Genomic DNA, 17,690 nt, shown 5'->3' on the forward strand with positions numbered 1-17,690 from the left:
AGGTACTATGATCATCATAGTGGTGCTCCCTGTGTGTGTGATCAGGTAGCTTTAATTTCCCACAGAGACTGAAAATGTGGAAGTGTGTCTACCAGCTTTGCCATCTGTCCTAGATTTAGGTGTGACATCTGATTGCTGGGCCCGAGCATCCAGTGCCAGCTGTACTTCTGCAGATTACTGGGTAATCACAGTAGAACCTTTCTTGGGGGTTGCTTTTGACCCAGGCAGCACTGCTCAGCTTGTGGCCAGGGAGCTTCATGACCATTGAGAGTAGGAGTCTGCACCATTACATGATCATAGGATAGCCTGCAGACATGTGATTCGTGTCTTGTAAGTTGTAACTGAGTAAATTTTTATATATGGAAAGAAATAGAATGCTGAAAGGGGGATCATGAGGGTCCAGGTGTGGGGCTGGGGACATGGAAGGCCTCACTGAGAAGCTGGCATTTGAGCAAAGGCTTGGAAAAGTTGAAGGAGTGGGCTGTGTAGATAAGTGTTTTGAGGGCTTCAGGAATGGCCAGGACAAAGCCTTCGAGGTGGGGCATGTTCTGGGGATAGCCAGCCAAGCAGGGTGATGGGGGCAGAGTTATGGGGAGGAAGCAGGGGTCACATGACCCAGGGCTGTGGAGGCCTCCATAGCACTCAAGCTTTTCCTCCAGGGAGCCGGGAGCCATGGGAGAGTTTGCAGTGGATGACGGATGACTGATATGGCCCCTCGGGCTGCTCTGGTTGGCTTTCTCCTGAGTCGTCCATTCTACCTTCTCGCCAAGGCTTCCTAGGTCATGTTTCAAGTCTGTTCAATGCATTTCCTTCTCCAGGTGGTCAGTGGAGACCTCACAGCAGAGGCTTATCTTGTTGAACGTGGTGATTCATGTGGTGATTTCACAGGGTCAGCTCCCCATGTCTTGTCCCAGCGGTGTCCTCCTCCTACATCAGGAGAGGGAGGTCAGCTCTGGGACCCAAGAAAGGGCAGGGTGCCTTGGTAACCCTTCTGCAGGCTTGAGGGATTGGGGCAGTGTGCATCTCTGCGAGGAGGGCACTGAGGAGGATGGGCTTCTCAGATCCTGGGCTCTGCCTTCTGGATCTGAGATCCAAGTTGCAAAGGAAGAGCTGGTTTCAGGCTGAAGCATTTTTTCAGCTTCATACAAGGCAGGAAGCCCATCAAGCCCCCACATCGTCATCATTGTCATCACTGTCACTAACGCCACCATAAGAGCTGACATTTATGTAGTATATGTTTATGTACCTGTTACAGCTCTAAGAGCTTTCCCTGTATTATTGCTTACTTAATTCCACAACTGTATGTGTTCAATACGCATTATTTCCATTTTACAGATGAGAACATTGAGGCATAGCCCAGGGTCACTGTATTAGTCTGTTCTCACGGCTATAAAGAGCTACCAAAGACTGGGTAATATAAAAAGGAAAGAGGTTTAATTGACTCACAGTTCAGCATGGCTGGAGGGGCCCCAGGAAGCTTACAATCATGGTGGAAGGTGAAGGCGGGGCTGGCATGTGACATGGAGAAAGCAGGAGCAAGAGAGAGAGGGAGGGAGGTGCCACATACTTTTCAACAGCCAGATCTCTCAAGAACTCACTGAATATTGCAAGGACAGCACCAAGAGATGGTGCAAAACCGTTAATGAGCAATTCATCCCCATGATCCAGTCACCTTCCACCAGACCCCACCTCCAGTACTGAGGGTTACAATTCAACATGAGACTGCTGCGGAGACAGATATGCAAACAATATTAGGTTGTTTCTACCTTTTGGCTATTATGAATAGTGCTGCTGTGAACATTCATATGCAGGATTTTGTGTAGATGTGTTTTCCTTTCTCTTGGGTGTACACCTAGGAGTGGAATTGCTGGGCCATGCAGTAACCATTCATTTAAGCATTTGTGACTACATTTAACCTTTTGAGGCACCACCAGCCTGTTTTCCAACGGGGCTACACTGTTTTGCATTTGCCAAGGCCTGTTGGCTGTTTTGGAGGCAAACCCCTCCCCTTAAGTTCCAAAGAAGTGAATCCCCAGTGTCCTGAGGTCAGAATGTCCAGGGCACCCTTTTAGAGAGAGAGGGAGGAGGGTCCTGAGAGACTGTACTGGAGAGGCTGTGTGGCCCCAAGCCCACAGCACTGAGTTTGAGTCTCAGCTCTGCCACCTACCACTGTGCAATCTTTTTATTTTATTTTATTTTATTTTATTTTTGAGATGGAGTCTCCCTCTGTCGCCCAGGCTGGAGTGCGGTGGCATGATCTCGGCTCGCTACAACCTCCGCCTCCCAGATTCAAGCCATTCTCCTGTCTCAGCCTCCTGAGTAGCTGGGACTACAGGTGCCCGCCACCACGCCTGGCTAATTTTTTCTATTTTTAGTAGAGATGGGGTTTCACTGTGTTAGCCAGGATGGTCTCGATCTCCTGACCTTGTGATCCACCTGCCTCTGCCTCCCAAAGTGCTGGGATTACAGGCGTGAGCCACCTCACCTGGCCACCACTGTGCAATCTTGAGCAAGCTCCATAGCCTCTGTGGGCCTGGCCTCTGTTTCCCCCTATGCAAAATGGGGCTTATCAGAGCATGCTGGAGGGGCTCCCATGAGATCAGGGGAGACATGAGCTTGGTGTAGTTTGTGGCCTATTGGACCTGCCTGATGAAGGTTGCTGCCTGTGAGGTTGGTGGTGTCTACCAGGCATTGTCCTCTAAAATATAATACTCCTATTCTAGGGGTGAGGAAGGAGTGTGGGTGTGTGTTCTGAGTAGCTCATGAGAGAGTGGGAACCTGTGCTAAGCCAGGCCTGGTCTCTCTGAGCATGGTGACTTGGACTTGTTGCTTTTGTGGCAGGGAACTGAAACTGTTGCAGACACTCTTGGCCTGACCTTATCCCCTCAGCACACACCTCTGCACACCACAAGCCACTTGCTGGAAACACCTGTGACTATGCCTGAGGGCTTCTGCTAGCCTGTGGTGCAGGATAGGCTGGGAGTGCTGGGGTGTTAGTGCCTCCAGGGGTGGCATGGCTGGGTGGGGAATCGGCAGATCAATACCCCAGCTCCCTCACCCTCAGTCAGGACACTCCTGGCTTGTTCTGCACTGACTCCCAGGCTTCCCCAATGGACTTCGGCTCTATTTACTCACAGGAATAATAAGCTTGATGACACAGCCTTTATTTGCTGCGCTTCCTTCCCTGTCCACCACCCCATTCCCCTTGCAGTGATTCCTGGGATAGCCCCCAAATAAACTCCTTGTATGTACATCCTTGCCTCAGAGTCTGTTTCTGGGGGAACCCAGATGAAGACAGAGACCCACTTAGACCCTGTGTCAGGAAACACATGGACCAGACTTGGGCCACCCTGGGACTTGCTGTTTTCTCTGTTCCCTGCGGTGTGTGAGCCTGTGTGTGCCTATGCATGTGTCTTTCTCCTCTTGCCCCTGATTGGCTAGCCTTGTCACTTCTGTCCTGATTCTAGAGGGAGTGTCTGATGTCCCAGTTATTGCTGCCCTCAGCAGAGTCAGGATTTTTTGGCCGGGGCGGGGGGTGGGGTCAGAAACCAGCTCAAGCAAAAAAAGAGAATTTACTGGAACGTGTGGCTGAGATGCATACTGTGTAGCTCACAGCATCCAAGATGCAATGCCTTTCCCATGCTCTCTTCATCTTTCTGCCAGTCTTTGTCTGCCACCATGGTTCTCTCCTTTTTTTTTTCTTTTTTTTGAGATGGAGCCTACCTGTGTCACCAGGCTGGAGTTCAGTGGCGTGATCTCAGCTCACTGCAACCTCCTCCTCCTGGGTTCAAGTGATTCTCCTGCCTCAGCCTCCTGAGTAGGTGGGACTACAGGCACTCACCACCACGCCCAGCTAATTTTGTATTTTTAGTAGAGATGGGGTTTCACCATCTTGGCCAGGATGGTTTCTATCTCTTGATTCTCGTGGCATGCCTCAGCCTTCCGAAGTGCTGGGATTACGGTGTGAGCCACCGTGCCCAGCCCATGCTTCTCTCCTATCCCAGACGACTCTAGTCTATAGAACACGTAACGTGGCCATGAGCAGCCTCATAAGAGACCGTTTTTCTCTCAGCATCTATGCTTGGCCTTCGTTATTTGCAGCATCAGTATTGGTGAATTTGCCTTTCTGCTCCAACTTATTTGCAACCTGCAAACCAGTAGTTCTGGCCCTTCTGTGGTCATTCTTGGTGATGCAGACTGGTGAAAAATTTGGGTCACCCATTCACACATGCCCTGCTGAGGTCAAACAAGATGACACTCTGCCTTCCTGTTTTAGCTTTCTTTTTGCAAACAGGTGTCCTTTCTGCCGTCCACTTAGTGCCTTATTTTCTGCAATTTCTTTCTTTTTATTTTTTGCTGGTGATGTTGCTCTTTAAAATGGCCCTGAGCAAAGTGCATTTATTTCTCATTAATTCATTCTTCCTGTTATTGATTTATTCAGTGACTATCTATGGATCATTTGCTCAGGGCAAAGCACTGTATTGAGTTCTGATAGAAGGAGACAGGGTCTTTAATTTCATCGACCTTATTGTTTAGTGGGAGAGGCAAGCACAACATTGATCAAATAATTTTGTACATGACTATATTTATAACGAAAATGAAGGTAACTTTTGCTTCCCTCTCTAAGAGGCACCAAGGGAGGTTATGCACCTGAGAAGCAGCCCAGGGAACAGCAGCGAAACTGATCTAACAGTGGCCTTCCTGGCCCTAGTGGCTGTGCTTTGTGGTCTAAGGCCACATTTAACCTGTGTACCAGAGGGACATGAGTGTGCACTTCCTGGAATGACCCTGAGGTGTTCAGTGTGCTGGGGAAGGTCATATGGCACCACGTATGACAGCAGTGTTGGGGTTGAACAAGCCTGGGCTTGCCTCCTGAGTCTCCCATTCTGTCTGTGTGACTCCCTCCTTGGGTCTCAGTGTCTGCATCTGTCAAATGGGCACACCGGTGGTACCTTCCTCGTGTGTGGGTGTAAAGACTAGAGATCGGGTATGTAAAACCTTTAGGTTAGTGCTCAGTTATGAGCACTTTGGTTGGCAGTATCATCGATAAGGGATGGTTTTGCACGTCGGGGTTCAGGACTCAAAAGGGAAGGCCATTCCCAGTGTTAGTCACCTGAGAAGATGATGGATTCCCTAGGCTGGGAACTGGTTTCAGGATGATGTTTCCGTTTTCTTTTTTCTTTTTTTAGGTATTTCTCCTAGTGCTATCCCTCCTCTAGTCCCCCAACCCCTAACAGGCCCCAGTGTGTGGTGTTCCCCTCCCTGTGTGCATGGGTTCTCATTGTTCAACTCGCACTTAAGAGTAAGAAAATGTGGTGTTTGGTTTCCTGTTCTTGTGTTAGTTTGCTGAGAATGATGGTTTCCAGCTTCATCCATGTCCCTGCAAAGGACATGAGCTCATCCTTTTTTATGGTTGCATAGTATTCCATGGTGTATATGTGCCACATTTTCTTTATCCAGTCTATCATCGATGGGCATTTGGATTGGTTCCATGTCTTTGCTCTTGTGAATAGTGCCGCAATAAACATATGTGTGCATGTGTCTTTATAGTAGAATGATTTACAATCCTTTCGGTTTATACCCAGTAATAGGATTGCTGGATCAAATGGTATTTCTGGTGCTAGATCCTCGAGGAATTGCAACGCTGTCTTCCACAATGGTTGAACTGATTTACACTCCTACCAACAGTGTAAAAGCATTCCTATTTCTCTACATCCTCTCCAGCATCTGTTGTTTCCTGACTTTTTTTTTTTTTTTTTTTTTTTTGAGACGGAGTCTTGCTCTTTTGCCCAGGCTGGACTGCAGTGGCGCTATCTCAGCTCACTGCAAGCTCCGCCTCCTGGGTTCACGCCATTCTCCTGTCTCAGCCTCCTGAGTAGCTGGGACTACAGGCACCTGCCACCGCGCCTGGCTAATTTTTTGTATTTTTAGTAGAGACGAAGTTTCACCGTGTTAGCCAGGATGGTCTTGATCTCCTGACCTCGTGATCCACACGCCTCAGCCTCCCACAGTGCTGAGATTACAGGCGTGAGCCACCGCACCCGGCCTGTTGTTTACTGACTTTTTAATGATCGTCATTCTAACTGGCATGAGATGGTATCTCATTGTAGTTTTGATTTGCATTTCTCTAATGACCAGTGATGATGAGCTTTTTTCCTACGTTTCTTGGCTGCATAAATGTCTTCTTTTGAGAAGTGTCTGTTCATATCCTTTGTCCACTTTTTGATGGGGTTGTTTTTTCTTGTAAATTTGTTTAAGTTCTTTGTAGATTCTGGATATTAGCCATTTGTCAGATGGATAGATTGCAAAATTTTTCTTCCATTCTGTATGTTGCCTGCTCACTCTGATGATAGTTTCTTTTGCTGTGCAGAAGCTCTTTAGCTGAATTAGATCCCATTTGTTAATTTTGCCATTGCTTTTGGTGTTTTAGTCATGAAGTCTTTGCCCATGCCTATGTCCTGAATGGTATTGCCTAGGTTTTTTTCTAGGGTTTTTTATGGTTTTAGGTCTTATGTTTAAGTCTTTTATCCATCTTGAGTTAATTTTTGTATAAGGTGTAAGGAAGGGGTCCAGTTTCAGTTTTCTGCATATGGCTAGCTGGTTTTCCCAACACCATTTATTAAGTAGGGAATCCTTTCCCCGTTGCTTGTTTTTGTCAAGTTTGTCAAAGATCAGATGGTGGTAGATGTGTGATGTTATTTCTGAGGTCTGTGTTCTGTTGCAATGGTCTGTATATCTATTTTGGTACCAGTACCATGCTGTTTTGTTGACCATAGCCTTGTAGTATAGTTTGAAGTCAGGTAGCATGATGCCTGCAGCTTGTTCTTTCTGCTTAGGGTTGTCTTGGTTATGTGGTCTCTTTTTTGGTTCCATATGAAATTTAAAGTAGTTTCTAATTCTGTGAAGAAAGTCAATGATAGCTTGATGGGAATAGCATTGAATCTATAAATTACTTTGGGCAGTATGGCCATTTTCACCATATTGATGCTTCCTGTCCATGAGCATGGAATCTTTTTTCATTTATTTGTGTCCTCTCTTATTTCCTTGAGCAGTTGTTTGTAGTTCTCTTTGAAGAGGTCCTTCACATCCCTTGTAAGTTGTATTCCTAGGTATTTTATTCTCTTAGTAGCAATTGTGAATGGGAGTTCACTCATGATTTAGCTCTGTGTTTGTCTGTCATGGTGTAGAAATGGTTGTGATTTTTGCACATTGATTTTGTATCCTGAGACTCTGCTGAAATTGCTTATCAGCTGAAGGAGATTTTTCTATAACAGTGTAAAAACACAGGAGCTTAAAACAACAATTCTGTGGGTCAGGAATTTGGGCAGAGCTCAGTCAGTGGATTTGCTGTTCTGTCTCACTTGGTGTTGCCTGGAGTCCCTTACCTGAATATATTCATTGGATGGCCAGGCTGGAAGTTCCCAGGCAGCTTTCTGGGCCACCAGTGTTCCTTTGTGCAGCGTCTCTCCCTGTTCTGTGGCTAGTTTGGGCTTCCTTACAGCATGGTGGTCTCATAGTAGCTAGTCTTCTCTGTGATGGCTTCCAAGGGACAGAAAGCAGAAGCCTGAAGCTTTTGCTGTGTTAAAAGGAAGTCACAAGGCCAGCCCTGACACAGGGAAGGGAAATAGATTCTACCTGTTGATGGGAAGAAGTTTGTGGCTATCGTGAATCCACCAGAGATGGAGACCATGGTATTCAGGGGCATCTCTCTGAGCCTTGACCTTGGGTGTGTTGAGTGATCTAGAAGGCAGGTCTGGTACTTGGATATTAGAAGGCTGCCCTCCATAAGGAGAGAGGATAAGGGGCTGGGAACCCAGGCTGGGGTCTGTGTGTTAGTGCCAAACTTTGGGGCTAGGATATAAATGTCTTAAGATACAGCGGAGGGGAATGGTACCGGGTCTGAAGGATAGGCTGTCTTTTTGCTTGTTTTCTGGTTATTTCACTGTTCTCCTCAATAGGTAATAAGGTCTTCTCAGGGGACCTGCCTGTTTTAGCAGTGCTTCAGGAGCTGAGACAGGGGCAGAGATATAGTCTGGGGTCAGAATGTTTAGGAGTGGAGGATCTGCGAGGTGGGGTGTAGCCGGGATTGGATTGAAAGGTACCCATGGGGACTGAGTGCAGTGGCTCATGCCTGTAATCCCAGCACTTGTGGAGATTGAGGCGGGCAGATCACATGAGGTCAGGAGTTCGAGACCAGCCTGGCCAAAATGGTGAAATCCCATCTCTACTAAAACAATACGAAAATTAGCCAGGCATGGTGGCATGTGCCTGTAATCCTAGCTACTCGGGAGGCTGAGGCAGGAGAATCACTTGAACCCGGGAGGTGGAGGTTGCAGTGAACCAAGATCATGCCACTGCACTCCAGCCTGGGCAACAGTACGAGACTCTGTCTCAAAAGAAAAAAAAAAGACACCCTGGGGGACATGAAGCACAGGCAGAATGGAGAGCAAGGACCCAAGGCTTTTGTCCTGTCTCACTGTTCCCTTGCTGTGTGACCACAGGGAGTTAACCTCTCTGAACCTTAGTTTCTTTGTCTCTGCAGTGGGGATTATGATGATCCTCTCCCCATAGAGTTGGGATAAAGATTAAATGAGCCAATACACATTAGGTTTGTAGCACAGGGTTTGTCTAGAGTAAGTGCTGACTAAACGTCAGCTGCTGGAGATGGTGGCGATAAGAAGTTACTTTTATTATTATCAGGACTGCTTGTTCCAGTGGCTGTTCCAGCCTGACAAATCTTCCAAGGCAAAACCAGAGTTGCTGAAGTTAACTTTTAAACATTTCCTTTTTTTCCTGAGTTATGGAAGGAATGATAATTGGGGAATTTAGGCTTAAAATGAAGCACCTGTGATATGACGCTCTGGAACGCCTCTTCATGCAGAGGGTGGTTATGCGAAGGGAGGAGGTTTTATTGCATATGGGGCCTTACTGGACAGTGAAGGGAGGGGGTTCCCAGCTCTCCCTGGTGGGCCCAGGCTAGAGCATGGGTCTCCCAGTCCTCACCAAGGGGTCTCAGCCTCAGCAGGTTGGCAGCCACACAACACAGTGAGATCCTTCTGTGTAGCTGAGCCTCTGATTCCCAGAGGTGAAGATACAGTCTTAGAGTGTATCCCAGGGACCCTGTCTTTCCAGCGGGAAACTGCAGGGGCTGAGAGACCACCCCCTAGAGGCTTCCTCATTTGCATCTTTAACACTGCCATGGTTGGGGGCTGTTTTCTTCTTCAGCCTGCCCTGCCTGGGCTCTGTTGACTACTCAGCCTGTTGTTCTGAAGTTCTCCTGGCCCTTTCAGAGGCCATGGGGGCTCAAAAGCCACTCAGAACACAAGTCCCTCTTCAGCTGCTGGGAGTCTGAGCATGGGAAAATCCTGCCTGATTTTTTCCAGTTCCCATGCAGGTGGTGGCTTCTTCGATTCTCGCGGTCTTCTTGGTGGAAACCTTTGTAGGTCTTAAGTGCGCTATAATTGAGCAGTCTTAAATGACCAGACACAGTGGCTCACGCCTGTAATCCCAGCACTTTGGGAGGCCAAGGTGGGCGGATCACTTGAGGTCAGGAGTTCGAGACCAGCCCGGCCAACATTGTGAAACCCCGTTTTTTACTAAAAATACAAAAATTAGCCAGGCATGGTGACTTGCGCCTGTAATCCTGGCTACTCAGGAGGCTGAGGCAAGAGAATTGCTTGAACCCGGGAGGTGGAGGTTGCGGTGAGCCGAGATTGTGCCACTGCACTTCAGCCTGGGTGACAGAGCATGACTTCATCTTTAAAAAAAAAAAAAAATGTGCCTTCACGGACAGGCACGATGGCTTATGCCGGTAATCCCAGCACTTTGGGAGGCTGAGGCAGGAGGATCACTTGAGGTCAGGAGTTCGAGACCAGCCTGGCCAATATGGTGAAACTCTGCCTCTACTAAAAATATAAAAATTAGCTGGGTGTGGCAGCACATGCCTGTAATCCCAGCTACTTGGGAGGCAGAGGTGGGAGAATTGCTTGAACCTGGGAGATGGAAGTTACAGTGAGTCCAAATCGTGCCACTACACTCCAGCCTGGGCAACAGAGTAAGGCCCTGTCTCAAAAAACAAATAAATTAGGCTTCAGATACTGAACTATCTGGCATATCCTATTTTGGGACCATGAAAAGGGTGACCTGGCAAGTCTGAGAAGGAGACCTTTTCCCTCATTATAATTTTTTTTTTTTGAGACACGGTCTCATTCTGTTGCCCAGGTTGGAGTGCCATGGTGCAATCACAGCTCAACTACTGCCTTGACCTCCTGGGCTCAAATGATCCTCCTCCCTCAGCCTCACAAGTAGCTGGGACTACAGGCATGCACCACCATGCCCAGCTAATTTTAATTTTTTTTTTTTTTTTTTTTTTTTTTTTTTAGTAGAGGTGGGATCTCACTATGTTGTCTAGGCTGGTCTTAAACTCCTGGGCTAAAGCAGTCCTCGCATTTCAGCCTCCCAAAATGCTGGGATTACAGGCATTAGCCACGGTGCCCAGCCAGAAATTATGACTTACTCCCAAGGTCCTGATGTCCAGAAGCAAGAACTGAAAGTGCGGTTGCGCTGTTATCATTAGTGGGAAAACACTCAGGCACCTGGGGCCACATCCGGTTCTGCCTCTTTCTAGCTGGTCTAGAGTCTTCTCTGAGCTGGGCTTTTTTTCCTATGCCCATTGCACAGTTACCCATTTATTGCCCAGAAGGTGACGGGCACTGGATGCGTTAGATGCTGGGGAAATAGAGGCACAACCATCACAGTGTCCTTCTTGTGAGTTTTGAAGGCTGGTGGGGAGAGACGGATGGTAAACAGGGAGGTGAAGACAAAGCCCTCTCTTTACAAGCGAAGTCAGCACAAGGGACAGGAAGAGCGCACATGATGGGTGGTCAGAAAAGGCCTCTCTGAGGAGCTGATATTTAGGCCGAGATCCGATGGGAAGAATCCTCTAGGTGGAGAAGGACTATGCATCCATCCCCCATGTATAAAATGGGAATAATATTAGTACCTGTGCCGTGAGGCAGTTGTGAAGGTAAAATGAATTAGTGCGTGTGAAGCACCTATCTTCCACTAAAAACAGAAAGCTGTTTTAGATGTTGATATTACTATTATTATTTTTGAGAAGGAGTTTCGCTTTTGTTGCGCACGCTGGAGTGCATCGTCTTGAGGGGTGCTGCGCAAGGCACTAGGGTGGTTTTAAACGCCTTTTGTCAGCTGTGTTTGGTGTTGCTACAGCTTCAGTAAACACAAGTGATAAAACAAGAGCCCTCAAACTGCACCTGGCCTTCCAGAAGATGACAAAGATGTATGTAGAACATCAGAGGGTACCTTGTGATTATTTTATTTTATCTATTTATTTTTAAAATTTCAAGTAGAGATAGGGTCTCACTGTGTTGCCCAGGCTGGTCTAAAACTCCCAGACTCAAGCGACCCCCATGCCCTTGGCCTCTCAGAGAGCTGGGGTTACAGGCATAAGCCCCTGCACTCGGTTGTGATTCTTTCACTTAACACATTTATTGATAAGTTATTACATGTCAGGCCCAGGCCAGGGTAGGCAAAAATGAGACAAGCTCCCTGTGCTTATGAACATGTTCTCACGTTCCTTACTGTTTCGGGGAGAAGGGGGTTAAGTGAACACTTGGGGTTGAGAGCAAAGACCCAAAGGAGAAGACAGATTCTGGGAGGGAAGGGGCAAGATTAGAGAGACCTGGTTGTCATCTACTCTCTGTTCCTTCCTTTCATGTGGCCTGGGCTCGGTCACTTCCTCTCTGTCGGCTCGTGTCCCCTGATCTGTGAAGTGAGAATTACAACACCTACTTTACAGGGCTCTCGTGAGTATTCAGCCAGCTAGTGTGTTAAGCTCTTACTCCCGTTAGGATTGCTTCGGCCCTCTGTGCCTCAGTTTCCTCACTGGTGAGGTCCTTTCTGCCTGATCAAGTCTGTGGCTCAGTCAGCTCCTCACTTCCTGCCCCTCTGGAGGACATCCCATTAGTCTCTCATTCCATCGTGCTCTTCTCTTTGGGAGCATTGTCATATGGTGGTTATTTATATTTATGTGGGCATTTAATGTCTCTCTTTCTCAGACTGTCAGCTCTTTGAAAGGGGGCTGTTTGTTCCATTCATTGTTCCTGTGTCATGCATGATGACTAGCACATACCAGGTAGACCATAGATGCTGTCTGCATGGGTGAATGCCATTCTTCCTCTGCTTGCATCTTGGGGATACTCATCGGCTGCACGGAAATGGAGCTCCGAAGGCCTGAGCTTCAGGAATTATCTGCTTGGTGGGGGCTGTGTTTCTGGAGGCTTCAGTGGCCTGAACAATAGCCAGGACAGAGCCAACTAGCCGGGCATACCTTTTCTCTGCAGCAGCAAGCCTTGTTGGCACTGTGGGCAGCAGGAAATGGCTGAAATAACTTCCATCATGATGCCCCTTGTCATGAGTTTCCATGGAAACTGAGGGCTGCTGAGCCTGTCACTCTGGCATAAGGGAGGAGTGTGGAGGGCAGCCTCATGAGAACTGGTATTTAGGTAGAATATGAATAGGGGGATTTGATTCCTTTTCCATAAGCTAGTGTGGGCTCATGGATTTTTTTTTTTTTTTTTTTTTTTTACTGTGGTGGGGCTCTTTGAATCACAAAAATAAATACAGCTTTTTAGTGAGAACTTAGGGTATTTCCAACACTGTCATCTTATTTCATCCTTCTAGGCCCACCATGAGGCAGGTGTAACTCCTTCAATTTGCAGAGGAAGCTGAGGCTCAGAGAGGTCCAGTGACTTGCTCAAGTCTACACAGCGGGGCATGGCAGAGTTCAGATCCACATTCTGGTCGGCCTGACTGTGGGGTTCAGTGGAGGTTGGCGGTGCTTGAGCATGGAAGACAAAGACCTTGTTGGGTGCCGGGCTGCTTCTAGAGATGGATGTGGTGGGTGGAGGATGGTTTGTGTTCTTTCCAGAGTCAGATGGCTGGGCAGAGTCAGGACATCCTGGGGGTGTTGGATTCCCAGGTGTGGAGTGACAACACTGCCTCATATCCATTTTCAGAGCTCATTTCTGAGGCTTCATCTGGTACCAACCCTGTGAGGCGAGGGAGCTCCTGCGAATCCCCTTGTGCAGCCAGGCTTGGAGAAGTCAAGGATTTGGCTTGGGGCACCCAGGAAGCCTGAGGCTTAGCTGGGTGGACCTCCTGGCTCCTCGCCCACTGCTTTTCACCCTGCCCTGAGGTGTGAGATCTTCCCAGCCACCTCTGGAAGGCTGGACTCTATCCCAGCTCAGTTATTTATGTATTTATTATTATTATTATTTTTTGAGACCAAGCTTCGCTCTTTCGCCCAGGCTGTAGTGCGGTGGCGCTATCTCGGCTCACTGCAACCTCCGCCTTCTGGTTTCAAGCGAATATCCTGCCTCAGCCTCCTGAGCAGCTGGGATTACAGGTACCCACCACCATGCCTGGCTAATTTTTGTATTTTTAGCAGAGATGGGGGTTTCACCATGTTGGCCAGGCTGGTCTCGAACTCCTGACCTTGTGATCTGCCCGCCTCAGCCTCCCAAAGTGCTGGGATTACAGCTGTGAGCCACTGTGCCTAGCCCTAGCTCAGTTTTAAAAATTACATTTAGTAGGTCTTATTTTCCATTATCAGAGAAATGCAGATTCATTCTAGAACCTTTGGAAAAGATAGACAAACACAAAAGAAAAATATCTCCCATTGACTACCCTCCAGGGAGCACTGGACCCAAACTAGGATCTGGTTGCTTTTCTGTGAAGATGTCCTATTTCATCTTTAAGGATTATGATCTTTTAGGTAATGGAAGTTGTGCTTCATATTTTAAGAACTTTTTAAAATGAACTTTATTTCATATTTAATTTATATACAATAAAAGGCACTCATTTTAAGTACACAGTTTGATGCATTTTGACACATGTGTAGACATGTGTAACCACCACCCTAATTGAGACACAGAACACCTTCCATCGCAGGAGAGAGGGTTCCCTCACTTCCCTCTGCAGTCTGCAGCCCCCCACCCTCCCCAGCATGCACACTCCCTGCCCCAGGCCACCCCAACCTACTTTGAGTCATCCAGGATTTTTCCTTGGTTTTAGAATTTCATAAACATGGAATGAAACAGTAGACTGTGTTTTGCATTCGACTTCTTTTGTGTGATGTTCTCAAGGTTCACCCATGTTGTTGCTAGTGTCAGTAGTTTTTCCTTTTCTGTTGCTGAGCAGCATTCCAGTGACCGAATATACCACTGCCTACTCCCCCATTCTCCTCATGGGAGATCTTGGGCATATCAGTTTTCCCCTCTGTATAATGGGGAAACATTACCCAATTTTTTTTTTTTTGAGACAGAGTCTCACTCTATTACCCAGGCTGGAGTGCAGTGGCGCAATCTTGGCCCACTGCAGCTTCCGCCTCCCAGGTTCAAGCAATCCTCCCACCTCAGCCTCCTGAGTAGCTGGGATTACAGGTGCACACCATCATGCCTGGCTAATTTTTGTATTTTTAGTAGAGGCAGGGTCTCATCATGTTGGCTAGGCTAGTCTAGAACTCCTGACGTCAAATGATCCGCCCACCTCAGCCTCCTGAGTAGGTGGGATTACAGGTGCACACCATCATGCCTGGCTAATTTTTGTGTTTTTAGTAGAGATGGGGGCCTCATCATGTTGGCTAGGCTGGTCTAGAACTCCTGACGTCAAATGATCCGCCCACCTCAGCCTCCTGAGTAGCTGGGATTACAGGTGCACACCATCATGCCTGGCTAATTTTTGTATTTTTAGTAGAGACAGGGTCTCATCATGTTGGCTAGGCTGGTCTAGAACTCCTGATGTCAAATGATCTGCCCGCCTCGGCCTCCCAAAGTGCTGGGATTACAGGCGTGCGTGAGCCGCCGTGCCTGGCCACATTACCCGCTTTATCAGATTGTTGTGGGGATTCAGTGAGTTAACATGTGAGTGATTAGAATAATGCCTGGCACATAGCAGATGCTAAATATCATAGTAATAATAATGGATTGTTGTCTCTTGCTGTGTAACAAACCACCCCAAGGCATAGTGGTGAATACTGGAGGTATTTCCAGTTTGGGGCTCTTGAATAATATGAGTGAATGAATGAAATAATACAAATGTACATGTGTAGTTGGGCAGCCTCGGTGGCTGTTGCCTTCCTCGAGGGCTCGAATGCTGTGTGTCTTGGTGATCGGCTGACAGGCAGCCGTTGCCTCTTCTAAGATGGGTGGTTTTCCTTTTGAGGTGGGTCCTGGGGGCTCCTGGCTGCTCAGTGCTGGCCCTACTTGTTGCCTTGTGTGCTGCTCTGAGCCAGGCTTGGTCTTGCTGGGCTGACCAACCCATTTAAGCCTCAGGAAGTGGCCTCTGTAGAAAAAAATGTATAAGCAGCGGGTGGTGAACAGATCAGTGGAGCGCAGAGCCCCAAAATAGATCTTTCTCCGCTAACTTGCCAAGCAACTGGGGGCAGTGGCAAATGCTTTGCATAACTTCCTACCCAAAAGAAAAGGTTTTACTGCAAACAACTTTTGGGGACCCCTCCCCTCTCAAATAATCTCAGACAGATCCAAGATGTTTTTTTTTTTTTCCAGAGCAGCACAAAGAGAGAGCCAGACAGGCCTGGGGTTCCATCCCAGATCCACCATTTGCAGGCTGTGTGATTTTGGGCAAATTCCTTAACTTCGCTGAGCCTTCTCTTTTCCTGTGTTAACTAGGGAAGATGAGACTAGACTCTCCAGTGTGTATGCAAAGCACCCTTACGCTGCAGAGATGCTGCAAATAGGGAGTGTCTTTTTTTTCTTCCTTTTTCAATTTTATCCTCTGTGCTTGCCCTAGAGCTTGTTATCAATTTCTCTTAGCTTTGTCAATTGTGGTGGGGTGTGGGGGATTGAGATTTGGCTTTCCTGGGAAGATGTTCCAAAACTGTCTTTGAAATAATACTCTCCTCCTCTGCAGATCAGTGGACAGGGTGTTGAAGGGTCGGCATAGGTGGTAAGCATGATTGATGGCCCCCAGAGATGTCCATGTCCTGCTCCCCGGAACCTGTGGGTATGTCATGTTACTTGGTAAAGAGGACCTTGCAGATGAAATTAAGTGAAGAAGGTTGAGATGGGAGAGTATTCTGGGTTACCCAGGTGGATCCAGTGTGTTCACAGGGTCCTTTTAAGAAAAAGGCGGGGCTGGGGGCAGTGGCTCATGCCTGTAATCCCAGCACTTTGGGAGGCCGAGGCGGGTGGATCACCTGAGGTCAGCAGTTCGAGACCAGCCTGGCCAATATGGCGAAACCCCGTCTCCACTAAAAGTGCAAAAATTAACTGGGCATGGTGGCGTGTACCTGTAATCCCAGCTACTCAGAAGGCTGAGGCAGGAGAATCGCTTGAACCCGGGAGGTGAAGGTTGTAGTGAGTGAACCGAGTTCATGCCGCTGCACTCCAGCCTGGGAGACAAGAGCGAGACTCCATCTCAAAAAAAAAAAAAAAAAAAAGAAAAAGGCAGGAGATCAGAGTGAGTAGAAGACAATGGCAAGATGATGGCAACAGAGGTTGGAATGATGTGCTTCAAAGGCAGAGGAAGAGGCCACACGGCCACGATTGCAGGCGGCCACTGCAAGGTGAAAATGGCCAGGAAGCAGGTTTTCCCTCGGAGCCTCCAGAAGGAGCCAGTGCTGCCGACACCTTGGTTTTAGCCCAGTGAGACTGGTTTTGACCTAGGAGCTGAAAGCTGATAAATGTGTGTTGCTTTAAGCCACTGAGTTTGCAGTAATTGGTGCAGCAGCCGTAGGGCACTTATAAAGCAGGCGAGGCCTATGTTGGCTGTGGTTTCACAGGAAAGTGGCCTCTTGGATGATGGCGCCTTATGGTCATTTTTATGTTTCTTCCCTTCTGATCTGGATGGATTGTTTTCAGTTCAGCCTAGGGGAGGTCTGGCTTCCCCGGGGCTTTACCTCGAGACTGGATCTCTGCAGTCAGGCCTCTGGTGAGCCCCTGTGGCCGGGGCAGCTGCAGCAGAGAGGCTTCCTCTCTCGACAGAAACGCAGAAGTGAGCTGCTTGCTCGCAGAGGCCAGGCTTCCTGTCTGGCCAGTCCCTGAAATGCTGCTCCCCACCCCTCGCCCCATGAGAGTCCAGGTGAAGATTGAGTGGGGGTAGGGGCTGCACTGTCTGATCTCTGAAGTGAGCCCCTTCCTGTCTAGCTTGGATTTGTGTTGAAGGCTTTAAGATGACTGTTTTCTTGTTTATTTACTTTTAAGAGACAGGATCTGGCTCTGTCGCCCAGGCTGGAGGGCAGTAGTGTGATCATAGCTCACTGTAGCCTCAAACTCCTGGGCTCAAGCGATCTTCCCGCCTCAGTCTCTCAAGTAGCTGAGACTACAGATGTGCACCACCATGCCCAGCTAATTTTTTTTTTTTTTCCCTGTAGAGACAGGGTCTCTCTATGTTGCCCAGGCTGGCCTTGAATTCCTGGCCTCAAGCAATCCCCTGACCTCGGTGTCCCAAAGTGCTGGGATTCCAGGCATGAACCACTGCACCCAGACAATTCTTTTCTTTTCTTTTTTTTCCTTCCTTCTTTTCTTTTCTTTTTTCTTCCTTCTTTTCTTTCCTCCCTTCCTTCCTTTCCTTCCATCCTTTCTTCCTTCCTTCCTCCCTTCCTCCTTTCCCTTTCCCTTTCCTTCCTTCCTTCTTTTCCTTCTTTTTCT

At 48.0% G+C, this 17,690-nt stretch overlaps 1 protein-coding gene across 4 annotated transcripts in view, besides 14 other annotated features; it reads left to right on the forward strand.

Annotated features, from left to right (window-relative positions):
* The window catches only part of PLCG2 (phospholipase C gamma 2), a 223,645-nt gene that overhangs the window by 67,261 nt on the left and 138,694 nt on the right, over positions 1-17,690 (forward strand). The gene's annotated exons all lie outside the window — the stretch shown is intronic.
* Positions 1,905-1,974: an enhancer, noted in NCBI's record as "active region_11208". NCBI's record gives its function as "activates an Ori minimal core promoter by ATAC-STARR-seq in GM12878 lymphoblastoid cells {active_cell/tissue: GM12878}" and the evidence as "EXISTENCE:reporter gene assay evidence [ECO:0000049][PMID:35858748]".
* Positions 1,985-2,094: an enhancer, noted in NCBI's record as "active region_11209". NCBI's record gives its function as "activates an Ori minimal core promoter by ATAC-STARR-seq in GM12878 lymphoblastoid cells {active_cell/tissue: GM12878}" and the evidence as "EXISTENCE:reporter gene assay evidence [ECO:0000049][PMID:35858748]".
* Positions 2,125-2,184: an enhancer, noted in NCBI's record as "active region_11210". NCBI's record gives its function as "activates an Ori minimal core promoter by ATAC-STARR-seq in GM12878 lymphoblastoid cells {active_cell/tissue: GM12878}" and the evidence as "EXISTENCE:reporter gene assay evidence [ECO:0000049][PMID:35858748]".
* Positions 2,475-2,584: an enhancer, noted in NCBI's record as "active region_11211". NCBI's record gives its function as "activates an Ori minimal core promoter by ATAC-STARR-seq in GM12878 lymphoblastoid cells {active_cell/tissue: GM12878}" and the evidence as "EXISTENCE:reporter gene assay evidence [ECO:0000049][PMID:35858748]".
* Positions 3,945-4,064: an enhancer, noted in NCBI's record as "active region_11212". NCBI's record gives its function as "activates an Ori minimal core promoter by ATAC-STARR-seq in GM12878 lymphoblastoid cells {active_cell/tissue: GM12878}" and the evidence as "EXISTENCE:reporter gene assay evidence [ECO:0000049][PMID:35858748]".
* Positions 4,565-4,654: an enhancer, noted in NCBI's record as "active region_11213". NCBI's record gives its function as "activates an Ori minimal core promoter by ATAC-STARR-seq in GM12878 lymphoblastoid cells {active_cell/tissue: GM12878}" and the evidence as "EXISTENCE:reporter gene assay evidence [ECO:0000049][PMID:35858748]".
* Positions 4,745-5,064: an enhancer, noted in NCBI's record as "active region_11214". NCBI's record gives its function as "activates an Ori minimal core promoter by ATAC-STARR-seq in GM12878 lymphoblastoid cells {active_cell/tissue: GM12878}" and the evidence as "EXISTENCE:reporter gene assay evidence [ECO:0000049][PMID:35858748]".
* Positions 9,017-9,066: an enhancer, noted in NCBI's record as "active region_11215". NCBI's record gives its function as "activates an Ori minimal core promoter by ATAC-STARR-seq in GM12878 lymphoblastoid cells {active_cell/tissue: GM12878}" and the evidence as "EXISTENCE:reporter gene assay evidence [ECO:0000049][PMID:35858748]".
* Positions 11,050-11,099: an enhancer, noted in NCBI's record as "active region_11216". NCBI's record gives its function as "activates an Ori minimal core promoter by ATAC-STARR-seq in GM12878 lymphoblastoid cells {active_cell/tissue: GM12878}" and the evidence as "EXISTENCE:reporter gene assay evidence [ECO:0000049][PMID:35858748]".
* Positions 15,405-15,504: an enhancer, noted in NCBI's record as "active region_11217". NCBI's record gives its function as "activates an Ori minimal core promoter by ATAC-STARR-seq in GM12878 lymphoblastoid cells {active_cell/tissue: GM12878}" and the evidence as "EXISTENCE:reporter gene assay evidence [ECO:0000049][PMID:35858748]".
* Positions 15,685-15,874: an enhancer, noted in NCBI's record as "active region_11218". NCBI's record gives its function as "activates an Ori minimal core promoter by ATAC-STARR-seq in GM12878 lymphoblastoid cells {active_cell/tissue: GM12878}" and the evidence as "EXISTENCE:reporter gene assay evidence [ECO:0000049][PMID:35858748]".
* Positions 15,885-16,034: an enhancer, noted in NCBI's record as "active region_11219". NCBI's record gives its function as "activates an Ori minimal core promoter by ATAC-STARR-seq in GM12878 lymphoblastoid cells {active_cell/tissue: GM12878}" and the evidence as "EXISTENCE:reporter gene assay evidence [ECO:0000049][PMID:35858748]".
* Positions 16,735-16,904: an enhancer, noted in NCBI's record as "active region_11220". NCBI's record gives its function as "activates an Ori minimal core promoter by ATAC-STARR-seq in GM12878 lymphoblastoid cells {active_cell/tissue: GM12878}" and the evidence as "EXISTENCE:reporter gene assay evidence [ECO:0000049][PMID:35858748]".
* Positions 17,015-17,214: an enhancer, noted in NCBI's record as "active region_11221". NCBI's record gives its function as "activates an Ori minimal core promoter by ATAC-STARR-seq in GM12878 lymphoblastoid cells {active_cell/tissue: GM12878}" and the evidence as "EXISTENCE:reporter gene assay evidence [ECO:0000049][PMID:35858748]".

The sequence above is a fragment of the Homo sapiens genome, chromosome 16, assembly GCF_000001405.40.
Source record: "Homo sapiens chromosome 16, GRCh38.p14 Primary Assembly".
Taxonomy (NCBI): Eukaryota; Metazoa; Chordata; class Mammalia; order Primates; family Hominidae; genus Homo; species Homo sapiens.